Here is an 18,535-nt window from a genome sequence, read left to right on the forward strand (position 1 = left end):
CAGCAATGAAGGCACAGGGGAGGTAACCAAGGGGTACTGTTAGATACCCAAAGAAGGTAAGAATTATAACTTGCTAAAAAAGCCGAATGAAGTAAACACACTCAAAGTTATCTTAAGATAATTTTTATATTTTATCATGTTAAACCTTGAGTAAAATTTTAATTTTATCATGTTAAACCTTGAGTAAAATTATTTTAATAAAGTAGCTAAAAGAATAGTCAAAAAAAGGGAAAAAGCTACATACAGATTTACATTGCTCTTCATTTATAAGCTTCAATACATAATGCTAAGGATGTTGAGATTACAGACAAGGAAATTGTTAGAGTAATCCTTAGGACTGATTTGTCCTTTTTCTTCCTCACATTCATCTCTTGGACTTGGTATGTTTTAATCTGAAGCAAAATCTCGCATGGCTTATTTTAAGACAGACAACCATATGAAGAAAAGTTATGTTTCTGGGATGCAGTTAACAGATGACAGATTCAAAATCAATTCCTTTATAATGTACTAGATGAATTCTACCACCATTACTAATGGTATTTTTAAAAACTCTCCATTTTTGTTTACCAGATTATCTTTCTATCCAGTTAATACAAACAAAAGTTCTAGTTGGGGGAAGAGGAAGGTTAACCAAAAATTGTCATTTTATTTATTTATTTGAGATAATGTTTCACTGTGTTGCCCAGGCTGGAGTGCAGTGGCATGATCACATCTCACTGCAGCCTCCACCTCCAGGGCTCAAGCAATCCTCCCACCTGAGCCTCCCGAGTAGCTGGGACCACAGGTATGCGCCACCATGTGTGGCTAGTATTTTAAAACATTTTTGTACAGTCAGGGTCTCCTTATGTTGCCCAGGTGGTCTCAAACTCCTGGGTTGCAGTGATCATCCTGCCTTCACCTCACAAAGTGCTGGGATTACAGTTGTTAGCCACTGTGCCTGGCCAAGTTTGTTATTTTAAAAGAGGTATTTTGAAAGAAAAATAAGTATTCAATGAAATCAAACATGTTACTAAAAATCTTTTTAAAATTCTAATATAAAATGGACTTAAAACAATTAGTCTCTGAGCTTGATATATTAAGTTTTGCTTGGAAAACTATTTCAATAAATAGGTATAAACACATACCTGTCTATGAAATGGCACCACTGCTCTGAATATGAACTTAAGAGATTTGCTTACCTCCAATTCTGCCTCTAACATCTCTTCAGTGGTTCGGGTCCGATCTTTTGGTTTCTTCCATGTCTTTGGTACAGTTATAGCTATTTGAGCTGAAATACAAGATCAGGCCCATTACTTGCCACTGCAAAGTCATTCTGAGAAATATTAGGTCTAAGTGATACCTATATTCAAATTAAGCAGGATAAAAGAGAACTTTACCTATACCAAACAAATAGTTGGCTGATCAAGTGAACAATTGTGTAGTAGCCCAGAGATTGCAACATCAAGTGTTGTGGGTACAAACTCGTAGCTTTCTAACCAGTGGCCTGCGTTCTTCCCATTTCATGGTTAGAAATATCCCAGCATGTAATTCAACATGTGATGAGTACATACATAAGAAAACTGACTTGTGATTCAGTTCTAGACCTGGGTCTACTTCTATTCATCAACTATGTGAACTTAAGCAAGTCACAGGTCTCAGGCCCCTACATTACTCAGCTATAAAGTATAAGAGTGAGACTAGATATCTAAAGTTACTTCAAGCAATAAAAAATAATACGCTCAGGATTCTGTTATTTTTAAGTTTTCTAGACAACAAAAGGATACTTCAATTAAGGTTTCATTAGATAGGCAGCATTTCTGAAACATTCTGTTTTCATCTCAGATCAGGACTGTTTGCCTAGCCTTTCATATTGATAGAGTGAAAACTAAGAAAATAGATAATTTTTACTGAATTATTCCATTGTTTCAGATTTCTAGATTAAAGGATTAAGTTTACAAAGGGCTTTAAAAAATTCATCTGGCTTACAAATTCCACAGAATCATGGGTGTATAAGTGAAAGACATTTTAACCATCAGATAGTAAGCTGATGATATTAAACTGCTTCTACAGAGGGCAACTTATGAATCAATAGACAAGAGTGAGGTACTATAGAAGGATGAACAAGGAGAAGAGTTAAAGAAAGGCCACTTAATAGGGAACATTACCAAAAGCAAATAAACACAAAGCTAAAGGGTATCATCTAATCTGATTCCCTACAGAAATATAAGATAATTCACTGAGACTCTGGGACAGTCTCATCTTTTTTGGTATGACAGTAGAACGTGCACACACACTTTTTGGTGGAACACACACTTTTTGGGGGAACAAGAAAAAGGAGACGTTTAATATTAATTTTTTTCCTCAAAATTACTGTACCATCTTAAAAAATACTCTGCATGTCTTCTTTGTTATACACATCTCACACCAATTATTCTTTTTTCTTCCCCTCAGGAACCATTAAGGAAACACTAATAGACCAGCTGACATTCTTCCTTTGTGTCCTACTCAAGGTAAATTTTTTCAAAGGATGGAAACCATGGGTGGGTTTAAATTTGCTATTGTCTCACAGGCTTCTACTGAATACATATATTCAGCAGTTGTCTCTTTGCATTTTTTGTGGATCTTCTGATTTGATATAACCAGTCTGTTTAATGCATTTCCTCCAAAATTCTTGTGATTTTCAACTCTGCTTCCATAGCTGAATCTTTTTAGGAGTTATAGAGTTCAGAGAATCTGTAATTTTATTTTGTTTTGCATTTGTATGAATTTAGCTCTAAATCTCATTCATGGAAAAGAGGAAGAACAATTTTTTGGAGGATTTTTGGGGCTCAAATATAAGCTCAAAAGGAACTTCCTCTAAACAACAAAAAACAAAGATAAACTTTTCTTTCCACAAATATATCAAATATACTCAACCCCAAAACATGAAACAAAATATTTCTTCCTTCAGTAATATAACATATTTAACATACTTGGAAAAAAAACAGCTACTGAGCCAGTGAGAATTGTTACTCATCTTGTTTAAGTGGCTATTTAAAGTCTTGATTTAAAACAATAATTCAGAAAAAGAGGGACAGAAAGAGCACAGACTTCTTTAGGAGACACTTAGTCCTTAAAAAAAACTGGATACACACACACACACACACACAAACACACACACACCCCTAATGCCCAGTGAGGTTGGGGCATATATCCCTTCTCCTACAATTACTGATAGAAAGGTGCAGTAAAATTTGGGTGTGCTGAGGAATGAAGGGGGAGAAAAGGGAGTAGAAGGGAAGCAGTCAGGAAGAAAAAGGGAGAGGGAAGACAGAGAGTGACACAGATTTTCATGATAATTAACACTGATTAAACTAGAATGGGGGAATTAAATTTAAGATACTGTCTTAGATTCGTTCTTTACTTTCTAGTTCATTGCACAGGGAGGGCACTCGAATTTGTTGACTGAACAAATAATAGCAGTTCTAGGCAAAGGCAGTATTATTAAACTTCCCAAGGCAAAGACATAGATTGTTTCCTCCTTGTCTTGTATTAAAGCATGACAGGACAAGCGACAGTCTCTGCATAGGATTCATAATTACCTGGACTCCCCCACCTAAGAACTAAACTCTTACAGACACATTTAATTTCAACTACATTAAAATATGAATAAAAACAAAAATACAAAAAGGTAATGCTGATTTCCAGATTTTTGCAAATTTTTTTTTAAATTTTATTATTATTATACTTTAAGTTTTAGGGTACATGTGCACAACCTGCAGGTTTGCTACATATGTATACATGTGCCATGTTGGTGTGCTGCACCCATTAACTCGTCATTTAGCATTAGGTATATCTCCTAATGCTATCCCTCCCCCCTCCCCCAACCCCACAACAGTCCCCGGTGTGTGATGTTCCCCTTCCTGTGTCCATATGTTCTCACTGTTCAATTCCCACCTATGAGTGAGAACATGTGGTGTTTGGTTTTCTTTGTCCTTGCGATATTTTGCTGAGAATGATGGTTTCCAGTTTCATCCATGTCCCTACAAAGGACATGAACTCATCATTTTTTATGGCTGCATAGTATTCCATGGTGTATATGTGCCACATTTTCTTAATCCAGTCTATCATTGTTGGACATTTAGGTTGGTTCCAAGTCTTTGCTATTGTGAATAGTGCTGCTATAAACATACATGTGCATGTGTCTTTATAGCAGCATGATTTATAATCCTTTGGGTATATACCCAGTAATGGGATGGCTGGGTCAAATGGTATTTCCAGTTCTAGATCCCTGAGGAATCGCCACACTGACTTCCACAATGGTTGAACTAGTTTACAGTCCCACCAACAGTGTAAAAGTGTTCCTATTTCTCCACATCCTCTCCAGCACCTGTTGTTTCCTGACTTTTTAATGATCGCCATTCTAACTGGTGTGAGATAGTATCTCATTGTGGTTTTGATTTGCATTTCTCTGATGGCCAGTGATGATGAGCATTTTTTCATGTGTTTTTTGGCTGCATAAATGTCTTCTTTTGAGAAGTGTCTGTTCATATCCTTTGCCCACTTTTTGATGGGGTTGTTTTTTTCTTGTAAATTTGTTTGAGTTCATTGTAGATTCTGGATATTAGCCCTTTGTCAGATGAGTAGGTTGATTTTTGCAAATTTTTATGCTATTGGAACAAAATGTTTTTCTTCAGAGCTGTTTTGTAAAACGTCTAATGGACAAATTAACAGACATGTTTAATCATTGGGCTTTAGGGAGATTCTCTGTCTTCTCTCTATGTAAGTTTTAAAACTGTGCTACAGTTTACTGTTCCTACAGTTAATTGGAGGGAAACAATTTTTGATGTGTTACATCAAAAATTCTGTAACTGGAAAGGACTTCATCTTAAGATTTCAAAAAGAGCGCACCTTACAGTAACATTTTTCTGGTATCTGTAGGATGTAATACAAGTCATCCCCATAAATGGAAGAGTCTCTTAGTTTTTCATTTACTTTTTATGTGGGCTTAACTGGATTCAAATTGTTACTCCTGCAAATTAAGACCTAACAACTATCCCTATACAACCTAAGAGATAAACACTGGACTTGGAGACTGAGGGCTAGGGCTAATGTAAAAGTTTCATAAACTTACCGGTTTTTATAAAACCCACATGTGTTTTTAAAAATAGTTTTCCCTGAAGTCTGAGGTAGTTAGAATATGGAGGCTGGGCGCAGTGGCTCACGTCTGTATTCCCAGCACTTTGGGAGGCCAAGGCAGGCAGATCACTTGAGGTCAAGAGTTCGAGACCAGCCTGGCCAACACATGGTGAAACCGTGCCTCTACTAAAAATACAAAAATTAGCCAGGCATGGTGGCATGTGCCTGTAATCCCAGCTACTCGGGAGGCTGAGGCAGGAGAATCGCTTGAACCTGGGAGATGGAGGTTGTAGTGAGCAGAGATCACGCCACTGCACTCCAGCCTGGGCGATCGAGCAAGACTCCATTTCAAAAAAAAAAAAAGAATATGGAGAAAAACTTTTATGTAAAATTGTTGTACGTCTTAAAGGGATAGCAGAGTCAAGAGTAGTTAAGAGACAGGGATATAATGCATCCTGAGGAACTATTCTGTGTAGACACATGATCTAGAACATGCACTCTCTTTTTCTTTGCAGAAATATCAGCTCTTAAAGAAACTGCTAATAGTTAAGTCATGGTTTTTAGTCTAAAATCCTGACTCAGAAATGTTACACAGTAAGTACAAGAATGACAAACGTTACTGCTATCACTGGCATAATCTCCCTTTATCTAGATTATTTATTTATTCTAATCATAAAAAGATACACCCATTGAAGAGCACTTATAAAGTATAGACAGATATAAAGTTAAAAAAAACACCTATGTGTTATCTTTTGAGACATTGTAAACATTTTGGGTTATTTTATTTCCGAGATTTAAAAAGCATAATTATAGGCACATCACCTATTTAGTTTTATACTGTTTTTTTTGTTTGTTTGTTTTTGTTTTTTTCCCCCACAAAACTTCAAACAAGAATTTAAGCTTTATAGTTTTGGTCTTTGGGACTGTCCTAACAACAAATTAACTCTGTTAAAATTCTTATATAGTCAATCTGCTAATTTTTTTTTTTTTTTTTTTTGGAGACATGGTCTTCCTTTGTTGCCCAGGCTGGAGTACAGTGGCATGAACTTGGCTCACTGTAGCCCCAGACTCCTGGGCCCAAGTGATTCTCCCACCTCAGCCTCCCCAGTAGCTGGGACCACAGGTACCCGCAACCATGCCCGGCTAATTTTTTTAATGTTTTGTAGAAATGGTCTCTTACCATGTTGTCCAGGCTAGTCTGAAACTCCTGGGCTCAAGTGATCCTCCTGACTTGGCCTCCCAAAGTGCTGGGATTACAGGAGTGAGCCACTGCCACACTTGACCCAATCTGCTAAATTTTGATTAAGTGGTTAAAAGCTCGTAATTAGTGCTACGTAGCAGGATAATTTGAAAGCAATCAATTAATAGGGAGACAATTAAAATTAAAAAAGATTCTAAAAAGATGAATAGGCAGTGAAGAACTATAAAAGAGCTAAATGTACATGATTCTAAAAATTAAGACATTTTATTCAAAAGTAAATAGGAACTAAAAAAACCTTCTTGGCTGGGCATGGTGGCTCCCGCCTGGAATCCCAGCACTTTGGGATGCCAAGGTGGGCAGATCACAAGGTCAGGAGTTCAAGACCAGCCTGGCCAACATAGTGAAATCCCATCTCTACTAAAAATACAAAAATTAGCCAGGCGTGGTGGCAGGCCCCCGTAATCCCAGCTACTCAGGAGGCTGAGGTAGGAGAATCACTTGAACCTGGGAGGTGGAGGTTGCAGTGAGCCAAGATTATGCCACTGCACTCAGCCTGGGCGACAGTGTGAGACTCCGACTCAAAAAAACAAAAACAAAAACAAAACAAAACAAAAACCTTCTTGATTATCTTTAGAAAATCCACATAAGGATAAAATTAAACTGGTCAAGTTTCACATCTACTGTCAACAGGCAAATCACAGCACAGATTTTTATGAGCCACTTCTAGTAGCAAGGATTTGGATTCAGGCTAATGAGACTAAATGGGATTTTTAGAGAGTAGGTTAAGGTTAAAAAACAGAAAAGGGTAAAAAACACAAAATTATACCTACACTTCATTTATAATCATGTAAAATATTTATGTAAAAACTGGAAGGAAACAAAGAAAAGTTTAACGCTAATATGCAGGCTACATACTTGAACAATAAGTGGTTTCTCTTTGTTCTTCAATGCTTGTAATGATAATTTTAAATTGGGAGAAATAAAAAAGTAAAACTTTTAAAGTTGATTTTCATTCACTATTTCAAATTCTGTTTTATCCTGTATGACTAATCCACTTTAGTCTTGTTATAGATTGTAGGATAGATTGCTCTTTATAAAAATACTATTGGAACACATTCTTAAAACAGTTAATTTTACTGGGCACATTACAATTTTGTGTATGATTCTGATCTCCAGAGGATCTGGAGAACTTACGGAGTTCATAGAGAGTACTCATTTTATACCCGAAAAAACGAAAAACCAAAAATAGCATCATTCCACGTAGGTTAAAAGAATGTAAAAGAGGTTGAGAGCAGTGGCTCATGCCTGTAATCCCAACACTTTTGGAGGCTGAGGAGGGAAGACTGCTTGAGGCCAGGAGTTCAAGACCAGCCTAGGCAAAAAAGTGAGACCTCTACAAAAAATTAAAAAATTAGCCAGGCACGGGGTACAAGCTTGTCATCCCAGCTTCTCAGGAGGCTAAAGTAGGTGGATCACTTGAGCCCAGGAGTTGGAGTTGCAGGGAGCTATGACCGTGCCACTGTACTCTAGCCTGGGTAACAGACTGAGACCCTGCCTCAAAAAAAAAAAAAAAAAAAAAAAAAAAAGAATGTAAAAGCGCTAACTACATAAGACAGGTAAATCTTTAATCCCAGAGTATCCTACTATTAGCTATGCAACAATATAAATCTGACAGCAATTTTTAGATAAACTTAATATTGCTTCTCTTTACTAACTTATTTATTAATCAGGTAGTCATCCAAGTAAGTTGTAAGAGTTTAACATTTTTTCTATTTCCTTGGTATAATAAAGAGATCTTTATTTTCCTTTTATTTCCTTTCTCTCTCCCTTTTCTTAGATCTTTAGCTAAAGAACACCTGTGGTTAATTGCAAACACTTCCTCTACCCCTTATATAAATATAAATATAGATAGCTAGACTCTGTCACTTAAAAAAATAAAATAAAAATAAAATATACTGCACTCCAGCCTGGATGACAGAGTGAGGCTCTGTCTCTAAAAAAATAAGGCCAGGTATGGTGGCTCATGCCACCATGAGGTCAAGATTGGAGCACTGCTTGAGCCTAGGAGTTCAAGACCAGCCTGGGCAACACAGGGAGACCCCATCTCTACAGAATAATTAAAAAATTAGCCAGGTATAGTGTCATGCACCTGTGGTCCAAGCTACTCAGGAGGCTGAGGCAAGAAGATTGCCCAAGCCTGGGACATTGAGGCTGCAGTGAGCTGTGATCACACCACTGCACTTTAGCCTGGGTGAAAGAGTGAGACTTGGTCTCAAGATAAAATTTTTAAAAAATTAATAAAGCTGTTTTATTTTCTACATTTGTGGAGATAATTTTCTGGGTTGGCCTGAAGCGCCTGAATTGTGCAGATTAGCTGAAGATCTTGTGGCCACATAACGGCTAAGTAAGAGACTCTGAATTACAAAAAAGTCTCCCTTGTAGCTCCACATGCTTTTGGAATACAACATAAACTCCCTAGTTCCAAGGTTTGAAATTAATGTGTCCAGAGTCTGGGTCTCTTAGATTGAAGTGACACAAAACTGAGACTGCGAAGACTTTCCAACTATAGACACTTCACTAATGCTCAGGGAACAGCCCCGGTGCATTGCCACAGAGTTGTGCATAAACAAAGTAGAATGTTCTAATAATGGAACTTTCAGTGAGAGTTCCCATCCTTATCACCTGGTTTTAATCCCTTCTCATCCATTCTTGATATATTTTGACAATTTTTACTTTTTTCCAAGTTTTGAGATCTACAAGTTGGCACTAAATCATTCTGATTAGATAATATGCAAGAACTTTGTCCCTCTAGAGTTCCTATAGGCTGTGAATCCTATTCTGTCCCAAATCACCACCTCTTTTCCTTTCACAGATCTTCATGGGAATCTAGGAAAATATGATGATTTATCTAAGAAACTAAGGTGGCACAAAGAAGAAACCCAGGTGAGAGGATAAATTTTACAATGAAGATGTAATGACCTGAAAAGAATAACAATGGCGATGAAATATGTAAGAATGATGGGCCACTGAGAGATGGCAACCAAAAGAAACACTTGAGAGTTAGGTCTAGTGTTTTTCCGCATCTTCTCAGAGGTCGTTATTTGAAATGTATGTTGACTTGGTAATTAGGCTTCCCATGGTATGACAAAATCTTTCTGCTCTATCACTACTTCACAAAGAGCTTGAATTACATGAGTTAGTTTGGTGAGGTCCTAGCACTAGAAACAAAACAGTATAATAAAATGAGGAAACTAGACTTAAATTCTATCAAAAACAGCCATTTCACTTGGGGAGGACAAGGTGAGTGAATTGCTTGAGGCCAGGAGTTCCAAGACTAGCCTGAGCAACATAGTGAGACACCATCTCTACAAAAAAAATTTTTTTAATTAGCTGGGTGTGGTGGCATGTGTCTTTAGTCCTAGCTGCTTAGGAGGCTGAGGCAGGAGGATTGCTTGAGCCCAAGGGTTGATGGTTATATGATCGTATTACTGTACCCCACCCTGTGTGACAGAGCAAGAACCTGTCTCTAAAAACAACGAAGCCAGATATCTATAACACAATTTAAATTGTTTTACTTCTAGCTTTCATGTTAAATATCAAAGTAAAAGTCAAATCCAGGTTTAGTAATTTTATTTATATCCTCAATAACCACCTTTTGGTTTTATAAATTTTTTCCCTGTTTTCTTGTTATTTGTTACATTTGTTTCCTATCTGTATTATTTCCTTTCTTCTACTTTTTCTGTGTTTGTTCTTCTTTTAATAATTTCTTAAGATGAAAGTTGAGGTCAATTATTAGAATTTTTTTTTTTTTTTTTTTTTTTTGAGACGGAGTCTTGCTCTGTCACCCAGCCTGGAGTGCAGTGGTGCGATCTCGGCTCACTGCAAGCTCCGCCTCCCGGGTTCACGCCATTCTCCTGCTTCAGCCTCCTCAGCAGCTGGGACTACAGGCGCATGCCGCCACGCCTGGATAATTTTTTTTGTATTTTTAGTAGAGACGGGGTTTCACCGTGTTAGCCAGGATGGTCTCGATCTCCTGACCTCGTGATCTGCCCGCCTCGGCCTCCCAAAGTGCTGGGATTACAGGCATGAGCCACCACGCCCTGCCTTTTTTTTTTTCTTTTCTAACAGTTGCGGTTAGTGATGTAAATTTCCATCTATGTACTGCTTTAGCAGTGTGGTAGGCAGAATAATGGACCACACCAAAGATGCCAATGTCTTAATGCTTTTAACCTTGTGAATACGTAGCCCTACCTGGCAAAACTGACTTTACAAATGTGATAATAAAGGATCTTGTGATGAGGAGACTATTATCCTAGATTAACCCAGTGGATCCAATGTAATCGAAAGGCTCATTACAAGCAAAAGAGGGAGGTAGGAGAAACACAGAGAGATTTGAAGATGCTGTGTTGCTGGCTTTGAAGATGGAGGAAGGGGACACAGCCAAAGAATGTAAGCAGTCTCTAACAGATAAAAAAGACAAAGGAATAGACTCTTCCACAGAGCCTCCAGAGGAGTCACAGACCTGATGACACCTTGATTTTTGGCCCAAATGAAACCCATTTTGGACTTCTGACATCCAAAACTGTAAGATAATTAATGTGTATTGTTTAAGCCATTATGTTTGTGGTGATTACAACAGCAATAGAAAATAGAAAATGGGTGGGTTTTCATTTTCATTCGGTTCAAAATATTTTATAATTTCTGATTTCTTCTTTGACCTCTGCGTTATTTAAAAGTGTGTTAGTTTCTAAACATATGGGGGATTTTCCAGAGATATTTTTCTCACTGATTTCCAACTTGAATCCTTTTAAAGTTATTAAGCCTCGTTTCTGGAACCACAATATGGTCTATCTTGGTAAATCTTCAATTTGTATTTGAAAAGAATGTGTATCTACTGTTTGAATGTTTAGTCAATTAAATCAAGTTGGCTGACTATGCTATTCCAGCTCCTAGGTCCTTACTAGTTTTCTGTTTACTGGTTCTACCAATTCTGTGTTTTCCAGTTATGTCGATTCCTTATCTCTACTTTTTGAATATGTGAAATACAGTTATAGCAACCGTATCTAATAACCCTCTAATGATTTTGTCTGCTAATTCTAAGCATGTCAGTTGTGAGTTTCAATCGATTTGTTTTCTCCTCATCATGGGTCATATTGTTTTCATGGTGTCACTGGGCCAAAAAGCAAGAAGATATCATCAGGTCTGTGACTCCTCTGGAGGCTCTGTGGAAGAATCTATTTCCTTGTCTTTTTTATCTGTTAGAGACTGTTTGGATTCTTTGCAAATACTTGAGGAAGAAACAATATCAATTTTACACCAACTTTCCCAGAATATTGAAGGAGAAAACTCACTAACTCATCATTTGAGGTCTGCGTCGTTACCCAGATACCTAAACATGACAATCACCAGAAAACTACAGGCGAACATCCCTTATAAATTTAAATACAAACCCTCCGCCCCCGAAAAAAAAAACACTAAATAAAATTTTAGCAAGTAAAATTGAACAATACAGAAAAAGAAAAAAAATGTGATGGCCAAGTTTTATCCCAGGGAAGCAGGTTGGTTTAATATTCAAATGTCAAATATTTTCAAATAAGCAGTTAATAAACAAAAAAAACCATATGATTTACTAACAAATGTAGGAAAAGCAATTGATAAAATCCAATTTATATTCTTGACTAAAATAATTTCTCAGCAATCTAGAAATAAAAACGAAATTCCTCATCTAGATAATAAGAAACTGACAGTTAACATCATACTTAACGGTAAAAGATTGAATGATTTCTCCCTGAGATCAGAACAAGACAATGTTTACTTTTACCACTTCTATTCAACATTGTATTGAAGGTTCCAGCTAGTGCAGTAAGTCAAGAGAAATAAAGGGTGCATCCAGCTGGAAATGAAGTAAATTTGTCTTTGTTCAAACAAGATGATTATCCATATAGAAAAATCCAAAGGAATCTCTATGAAACAGCTAACAAGACTAGGAAGTATACTTAGCAAGGTTGCAGGACATGAAACTGATATATAAAAATCTATTATATATTGTATTTCCATATACTAGTAACAAAAATTGAAATAAAAAATACCATGTACACAAGCATCTAAAGATATAAATTTGACAAAAGATACAAAAAACCTATACACTAGAAACTCCAAACCATTATTTAGAGAATTAAAGAATACTTTAAAAAATGCCTCTGGGAGGCCGAGGCAGGCGGATCACGAGGTCAGGAGATCGAGACCATCCCGGCTAACACGGTGAAACCCCATCTCTACTAAAAATACAAAAAATTAGCCCGGGCGTGGTGGTGGACACCTGTAGTCCCAGCTACTCGGGAGGCTGAGGCAGGAGAATGGCATGAACCCGGGAGGCGGAGGTTGCAGTGAGCCGAGATCGTGCCATTGCACTCCAGCCTGAGCAATAGAGAGAGACTCTGTCTCAAAAAAAAAAACAAAAACAAAAACAAAAAACAAAAGCAAAATATACCATGTTCATGGGTCAGAAGACTCAATATTGCAAGATGTCAATTCTGTCTACAGTGTCAATGCAAATCAAATTTCAACTGTCTTTTTTTTGCAGGAAAAAATATAGAAAAAAACTGATTATAAAATGAATCTAGAAAAACAAAGGACCTAGAATGGCCAAAACAACTTTGAAAAAGAAGAATGAAGTTGGAGGGCTTAATACTCGGATTTTAAGACTTATTACAAAGCTTCTTTATCACGACCGTGTGGTATGAGCAACAAGAAAAGACAACCGGATCAATTGAAAAAAATAGAGAATCCATTCAATCGACTCTCATTATGTATGCACAACGTATTTATAGAAGTGGTACAAAGGAGATTTAGCAGAAACAAGATAGCCTGAAATTTTCAGACATTACTGGTGGGAATATAAAATGGCAAATGTACTTTGGAAAATGACTTACAATTTCTTAAAAATTAATATACACCTATATATAACCCTGCCATTTCATCTATACATATTCACCCAAGAAAAATGACAGCTTATGTCCATACAAAGACTTGTACATAGGTGCTCACAGCAACTTTATTTGTAATAGCCCCAAACTGGAAACAGCCAAAATGTCTATCAATAGGTTAACAAACAGACAAATTGTGGCAAATCCATACTCGGCAATTTTTAAAAATGAGCTCTTTACATACTCAACAACATATATAAACATGCTGAATGAAAGAAGCCAGTCAGGCTGGGCATGGTGGTTCATGCCTTTAATCCCATCACTTTGGGAGGCCAAGGCAGGTGGATTGCTTAAGCCCAGAGTTTGAGATCAGCCTGGGCAACATGGCGAAACGGTCTCTACAAACAACAACAAATAAACAGCAAAAAATTAGCCAGACATTGTAGTGCATGCCTGTTGTCCCAGCTACTTGGGAGGCTGAGGCAGGAGGATGTGTTGAACCTGGGAGGTCAAGGCTGCAGTGGGCTGTGATCGTGCCACTGCATTCCAACCTAGGTAACAGAGTGAGACCCTATCTCAGAAAGAAGCCAGACAAAAAACAGTTTATGCTTTCATTTACGTAAGATTTCTAAAATGCAAACTAATCTGTAGTGACAAAAAACAGATCAGTGCTTGCCTGGCGATGAAGATGAGGGTAGTAGTGCAGGAGGGAGGGATTTACAAAACAGGCATAAGAAAAATTTTGGGTGATAAATACGATTATAGTTATCGTTTATATAGAGCATGTTCCTGTTAAAAGTGATCAAATATTTTATGTGTACATTAACCTTACATCAACTATACCTCAATAGAAATACTGAAGTGTTCTGGGTGGTTTCTGAAGTACCTAAAATATTAGCATTTCCATATATCTATTACACAACTATCAAAATACGATAATGTATGTTTACTGACATAAAAACATTTCTATGACATACTGTTTTTACAAGGCTTTAAAATTATATATAGTTATTTTTCCGTTTACAAAGGTAAATATATAATCTGTACATCTAAGTAGTGGGATTCCAAGGGCTTTTTTTCTTCCTCCTAATTTCTGTTGCCTTTTATCTTTTACTTTTTGTTTTTAATGACAAATGTGTCCACTTAAACAAAGGTAATATTCCTCTCTCCCAACTAGCCATTTCTACTTGCCTGAGGTGAACCTTGCCTCAGCACTCTGTGTCTGATATATAGTCTTCTACACCATCATGGCTCATACAAATAATCACAACCCTATATACAAGTTTATTATTTATTTTTTAGACAGGGTATCTCTCTGTGGCTCAGGCTGGAGTGCACTGGCGCAGTCACGGCTCACTACACTCTTGAATTACCGGGTTCAAGCAGTCCTCCTGCTTTGGCCTCTTGAGTAGCTGGGACCACAGTCACGCACCAGCACACTTTGCTAATTTTTGTTTTTTTGTACAGATGGGTCTCCCTATGTTGCCTAGGCTGGTCTCGAACTCCTGGCCTCAAGCAATCCTTCCGTCATAGCCTCCCAAAGTGCTGGAATTACAGGCATGAGCCACAGCACCTAGCCACAAGTTTATCTTAAACAGAAAAATGGGGTCATAACTATATGAGTTATTCTTCAACATGCTTTATTTTCACTTAAAATCCCTCCTAGCATGTAGTCATTATGCAAATACTAGTATGCAACATTTCTTTTGAAAAATCTTACGTTTTTGCTATTTTTCTTACCACGAAAACTTTTAAATATATCCTCCTAGTATCTTTTTTTTTTTTTTTTTTTTTTTTTAAAGAGGCAGGTTCTCACTATGTTGCCCAGGCTGGTCTTCAACTCCTGGGCTCAAGTAATCCTCTGCCTCAGCCTCCTGAGCAGCTGAGATTATAGGTCTGAGCCACTGCACCCAGCCTATACTAGTAATTTTATTTCCAAATATAGATATTGTCAGATTTGGTTCCACAAAGGTTACTCATACTCCTCTCACAAATAAATGTGTGTTGGATTTTCTCCATTCTCACAAGTACTTTATATTTGGCAAACTAATAGCTTAAATGGGCTATTTCTACACTCACTAATGAGGTTAAGCATTTTTTCCTTTTTTTGTTTTTGGTTATTTGTTCTTTCTTTTCTGTGAATTTCCTATTCTCATCCTTTATCCAATCTTTTATTAGATGCTTTGTTTTCTTTTTAACCGACAGGTATTTTCCTACAGACAGGTTAAACTTATACATATTGTCTTTTGATTTCCTTTCTGCCAAGACAAAACCCAACATTTATTTATTCTTTTCTTTTAGACAGGGTCTCACTTAGTCGCCCAGGCTGAAGAACAGTGGCTCAATCACGGCAGACTGCAGCTTCAACTTCCCTGGTTCAGGTGATCCTCCCACCTCAGCCTCCCGTATAGCTGGAAGTACAGGTGCATGCCACCACACCTGGCTAATTTTTGTATTGTAGAGACAGGATTTCGTTATATTGTTCAGGCTGGTCTTGAACTACTGGGCTCAACCAATCCACCCAACTTGACCTCCCGTAGTGATGGGATTACAGGTGTGAGCCACCAAGCCTGACCCCATATTTTTCTTATCATCATCAGTTTATATTGAATTTTCTCTAATCAATATATGCTAACTTTGAAAACAATACCAAAAGAAAAAATAATCAAAGAAAATATCCATTTTAACTAATCTGAAATTAAGGCAAGGAAAAGTCTTTTTTCTCTTGCCTTTAATATATATCATAAAGTAAATTAGAAGGGAGACACAGCGTCTACAAAGCCTATGATCTGGCATGTTTCTCCTCAGCTATTTTACTCTAGCTATGAATTTTGAGAATCACGAAGCAATACTATTTTTTAGAGACCCTTTTATAGAGAAGAAAATCAGAATGTTGTAATGATGTAGGCTATCCTTCTAAAGACACCAAAGTCAGAATGTTATTTTCTCTTGTGATGACTTCAGTTAGCCCTCTGGAGATAATTCTTTTTTTTTTTTAAGACGGAGTTTTGCTCGTTGCCCAGGCTGGAGTGCAATGGCGCAATCTGGGCTCACTACAACCTCCACCTCCCGGGTTCAAGTGATTCTCCTGCCTAAGCCTCCCAAGTAGCTGGGATTACAGGCACACACCACCACACCCAGCTAATTTTGTATTTTTTGTAGAGACAGGGTTTCTCCATGTTGGTCAGGCTGGTCTCAAACTCCCAACCTCAGGTGATCTGCCCGCCTCGACCTCCCAAAGTGCTGGGATTACAGGCGTGAGTCACTGCGTCCGGTCGAGATATTTTATTGTACAAATAAAATTGATAGTGACATTTAACTAAGTTTTTAAAATAGGCAATTTATGTTTTAAATCACATATTTCAAGTAGACAAATTCCTGTAAATTTTCAAGCAAACTTTGATTTAATATATTTTATTCACATTCTTTTTTATTAGTAAAGATATGAGATAGCCTATTAATAAGGCATCATTATGGCACAAAAGTAAGTAGAAAGGGCAACAACTAAAACTGAAAATTATTATCACATTATGACTGGTGGTTGGATAGAAGAGAGAATAGAATAATAGAATATATTAGGCTTGTTCTCTGCTTTTAAGTGAGAAAGGTGATTCCTACTGCCAAGAACAGGAAGTCAGAATGACTTTCTTCGATTAATCTACCATGTAATAGGAACTGAGAGAATTCTAAGAGAAAGAGGCTTAAAAATTCCAGTAACATATATGGTAGACTTTCTTACTGATCAGAAGCTACCTGATTCTCACTGTACTCTGTTTCATCTCCTATTCTGACCAAAACTTCCACCGAGAGCTTGGGTTTTTTTTCCCCATTAACCTCAGTTCTGGGCCTTTAGGATTTTTACACCAACTCTCTTTGGTCACTCTCTAGAAATACTGTTTCAGAATGGCAGTGGCCCAGGTTTCCTGATAGTAAATGCAGGAACCATCCATTTATAGAGAAAGCTAAAGTCCCAATATTATTTTCAAAACCTTTTCTGCTAAAATATATTTTAGTAAGTCTGCCTCTCTGTTGCTCCTCCAAACAACATAACTGACTCATTTGAACAGCAATAATTATTTTATATAATAGAACTGTTTATAAAAATTATGTATAAATTATATTTGGGTGTGTTTGAAAATTCTAAGAATTATGTGATGTAAACATTTATAAGAAAATTGTTAATCTATATGAAACCCTAAATATACCATATGCATAAAGAAAAAAAATCTTCTAATTTTTCCGTTGATCAAATACCTATTTTGTGCAGAGAACAATTCCATATGTTGTTATTTGGAAATGAAAAAGCAAAAGCCAAGAAAAGCCAATACAATTTTGATGTAGAATTTAAAGGTAGTGGGCTTGTAATATTAGGATATTATAAAACTAAAGTAACGAAGGTAATTGTGCTATTGATGCAAGGTTAGGCAAAGAGAAAAGAAGTGGCTCAATAGAAACCATTAATCTGAATGCAGTGTTGAAGCGGTGTATCAGCTTAACCAACAGTGTGCCTCATTATATAAACTGACCTCAGTCCTTGACCATTCCGAAAGAACAGCTGTTGGATTCCAAACCATGATTTTAAGGTCATGGATTATGTCACAGGATTGCAATGTGAGACATCTGTACCAGGGACTAGATACCAGACCCTCAAATTATACCAAGATCTGAGCTGGTGATTCCACAGCCATATATGCTAAACTGGAAGAATACTGTTGAATTCAATTTTTTGTCATTATACTCCAGCTTCTGATATTGCCAGGTGAGGAGATAATGCTTACTTAAGTATGCAGCCTAAAAGCCCCCGCTTAGCTAAATGTTTGGACTCTTTTCCAAAGTGGCATGGAAAGTAGAAGAAAACGTGCACCTGCTTCTGCTTTTCTCATCATGCTTCAGCAGGTCCAGTGTGTATTTTGACATCCCCAGGCTTCTGCCCTGCCATGGACATACCTGTATCTTTATTTTCTTGATTTCACTATTCTTTCTCCAAATCTTTGGTGCTTATATCTGCTTAGGTGATGGAATTTGTCTCAGAGTAGTAAATGACAAAATTATCACAAATTCAACATCCTTTCAATTCACCATTACACTCAAGTATTTTTGCAGCATTTGGTATTGGTATTGTCTGATACAAACTCTTTTTGAAAAGTTCTCTTAGGCCTATATTCGTATCAGTCTCCAAGTCCTGCTTTTCCTATTTCCATATCGAACATAACTTCTTAGAATCTGAAGACCTCTCTATCTTGTTTCAAACATCAATTTCTCTTGACTGAACTCTAATTTTTGGTATCTCAAATACTTATCAAAGTGCCAC

The 18,535-nt window shown here is 37.0% G+C and overlaps 1 protein-coding gene and 2 long non-coding RNA genes across 65 annotated transcripts in view; 2 read left to right on the forward strand and 1 right to left on the reverse strand.

Annotated features, from left to right (window-relative positions):
* Window positions 1–15,569, forward strand: LOC105376830 (uncharacterized). Of its 2 annotated transcripts, none has more exons than XR_947042.1 (6): window positions 1–56; window positions 2,431–2,489; window positions 5,613–5,691; window positions 9,171–9,241; window positions 12,882–13,107; window positions 15,530–15,569. It is a non-coding gene; the product is annotated as an uncharacterized LOC105376830 (long non-coding RNA). The 2 variants fall into 2 exon arrangements; XR_947041.1 differs by having other exon boundaries at window positions 15,526–15,561.
* Window positions 1–18,535, reverse strand: part of EIF4G3 (eukaryotic translation initiation factor 4 gamma 3) — a 370,606-nt gene that overhangs the window by 97,413 nt on the left and 254,658 nt on the right. For all 62 annotated transcript variants that reach the window (XM_047433321.1, XM_047433366.1, XM_047433324.1 and 59 more), the window contains one exon: window positions 1,179–1,267. In XM_047433321.1, the coding sequence (XP_047289277.1) occupies window positions 1,179–1,267 (89 nt within the window). The remainder of the gene's footprint in view (window positions 1–1,178; window positions 1,268–18,535) is intronic.
* LOC105376829 (uncharacterized) overlaps window positions 15,567–18,535 on the forward strand; it is a 13,366-nt gene continuing 10,397 nt past the window's right edge. Inside the window, exon 1 of the long non-coding RNA XR_947039.3 lies at window positions 15,567–15,605. This is a non-coding gene — a long non-coding RNA (uncharacterized LOC105376829). The remainder of the gene's footprint in view (window positions 15,606–18,535) is intronic.

Source organism: Homo sapiens, chromosome 1 (assembly GCF_000001405.40).
Source record: "Homo sapiens chromosome 1, GRCh38.p14 Primary Assembly".
NCBI lineage: Eukaryota > Metazoa > Chordata > Mammalia > Primates > Hominidae > Homo > Homo sapiens.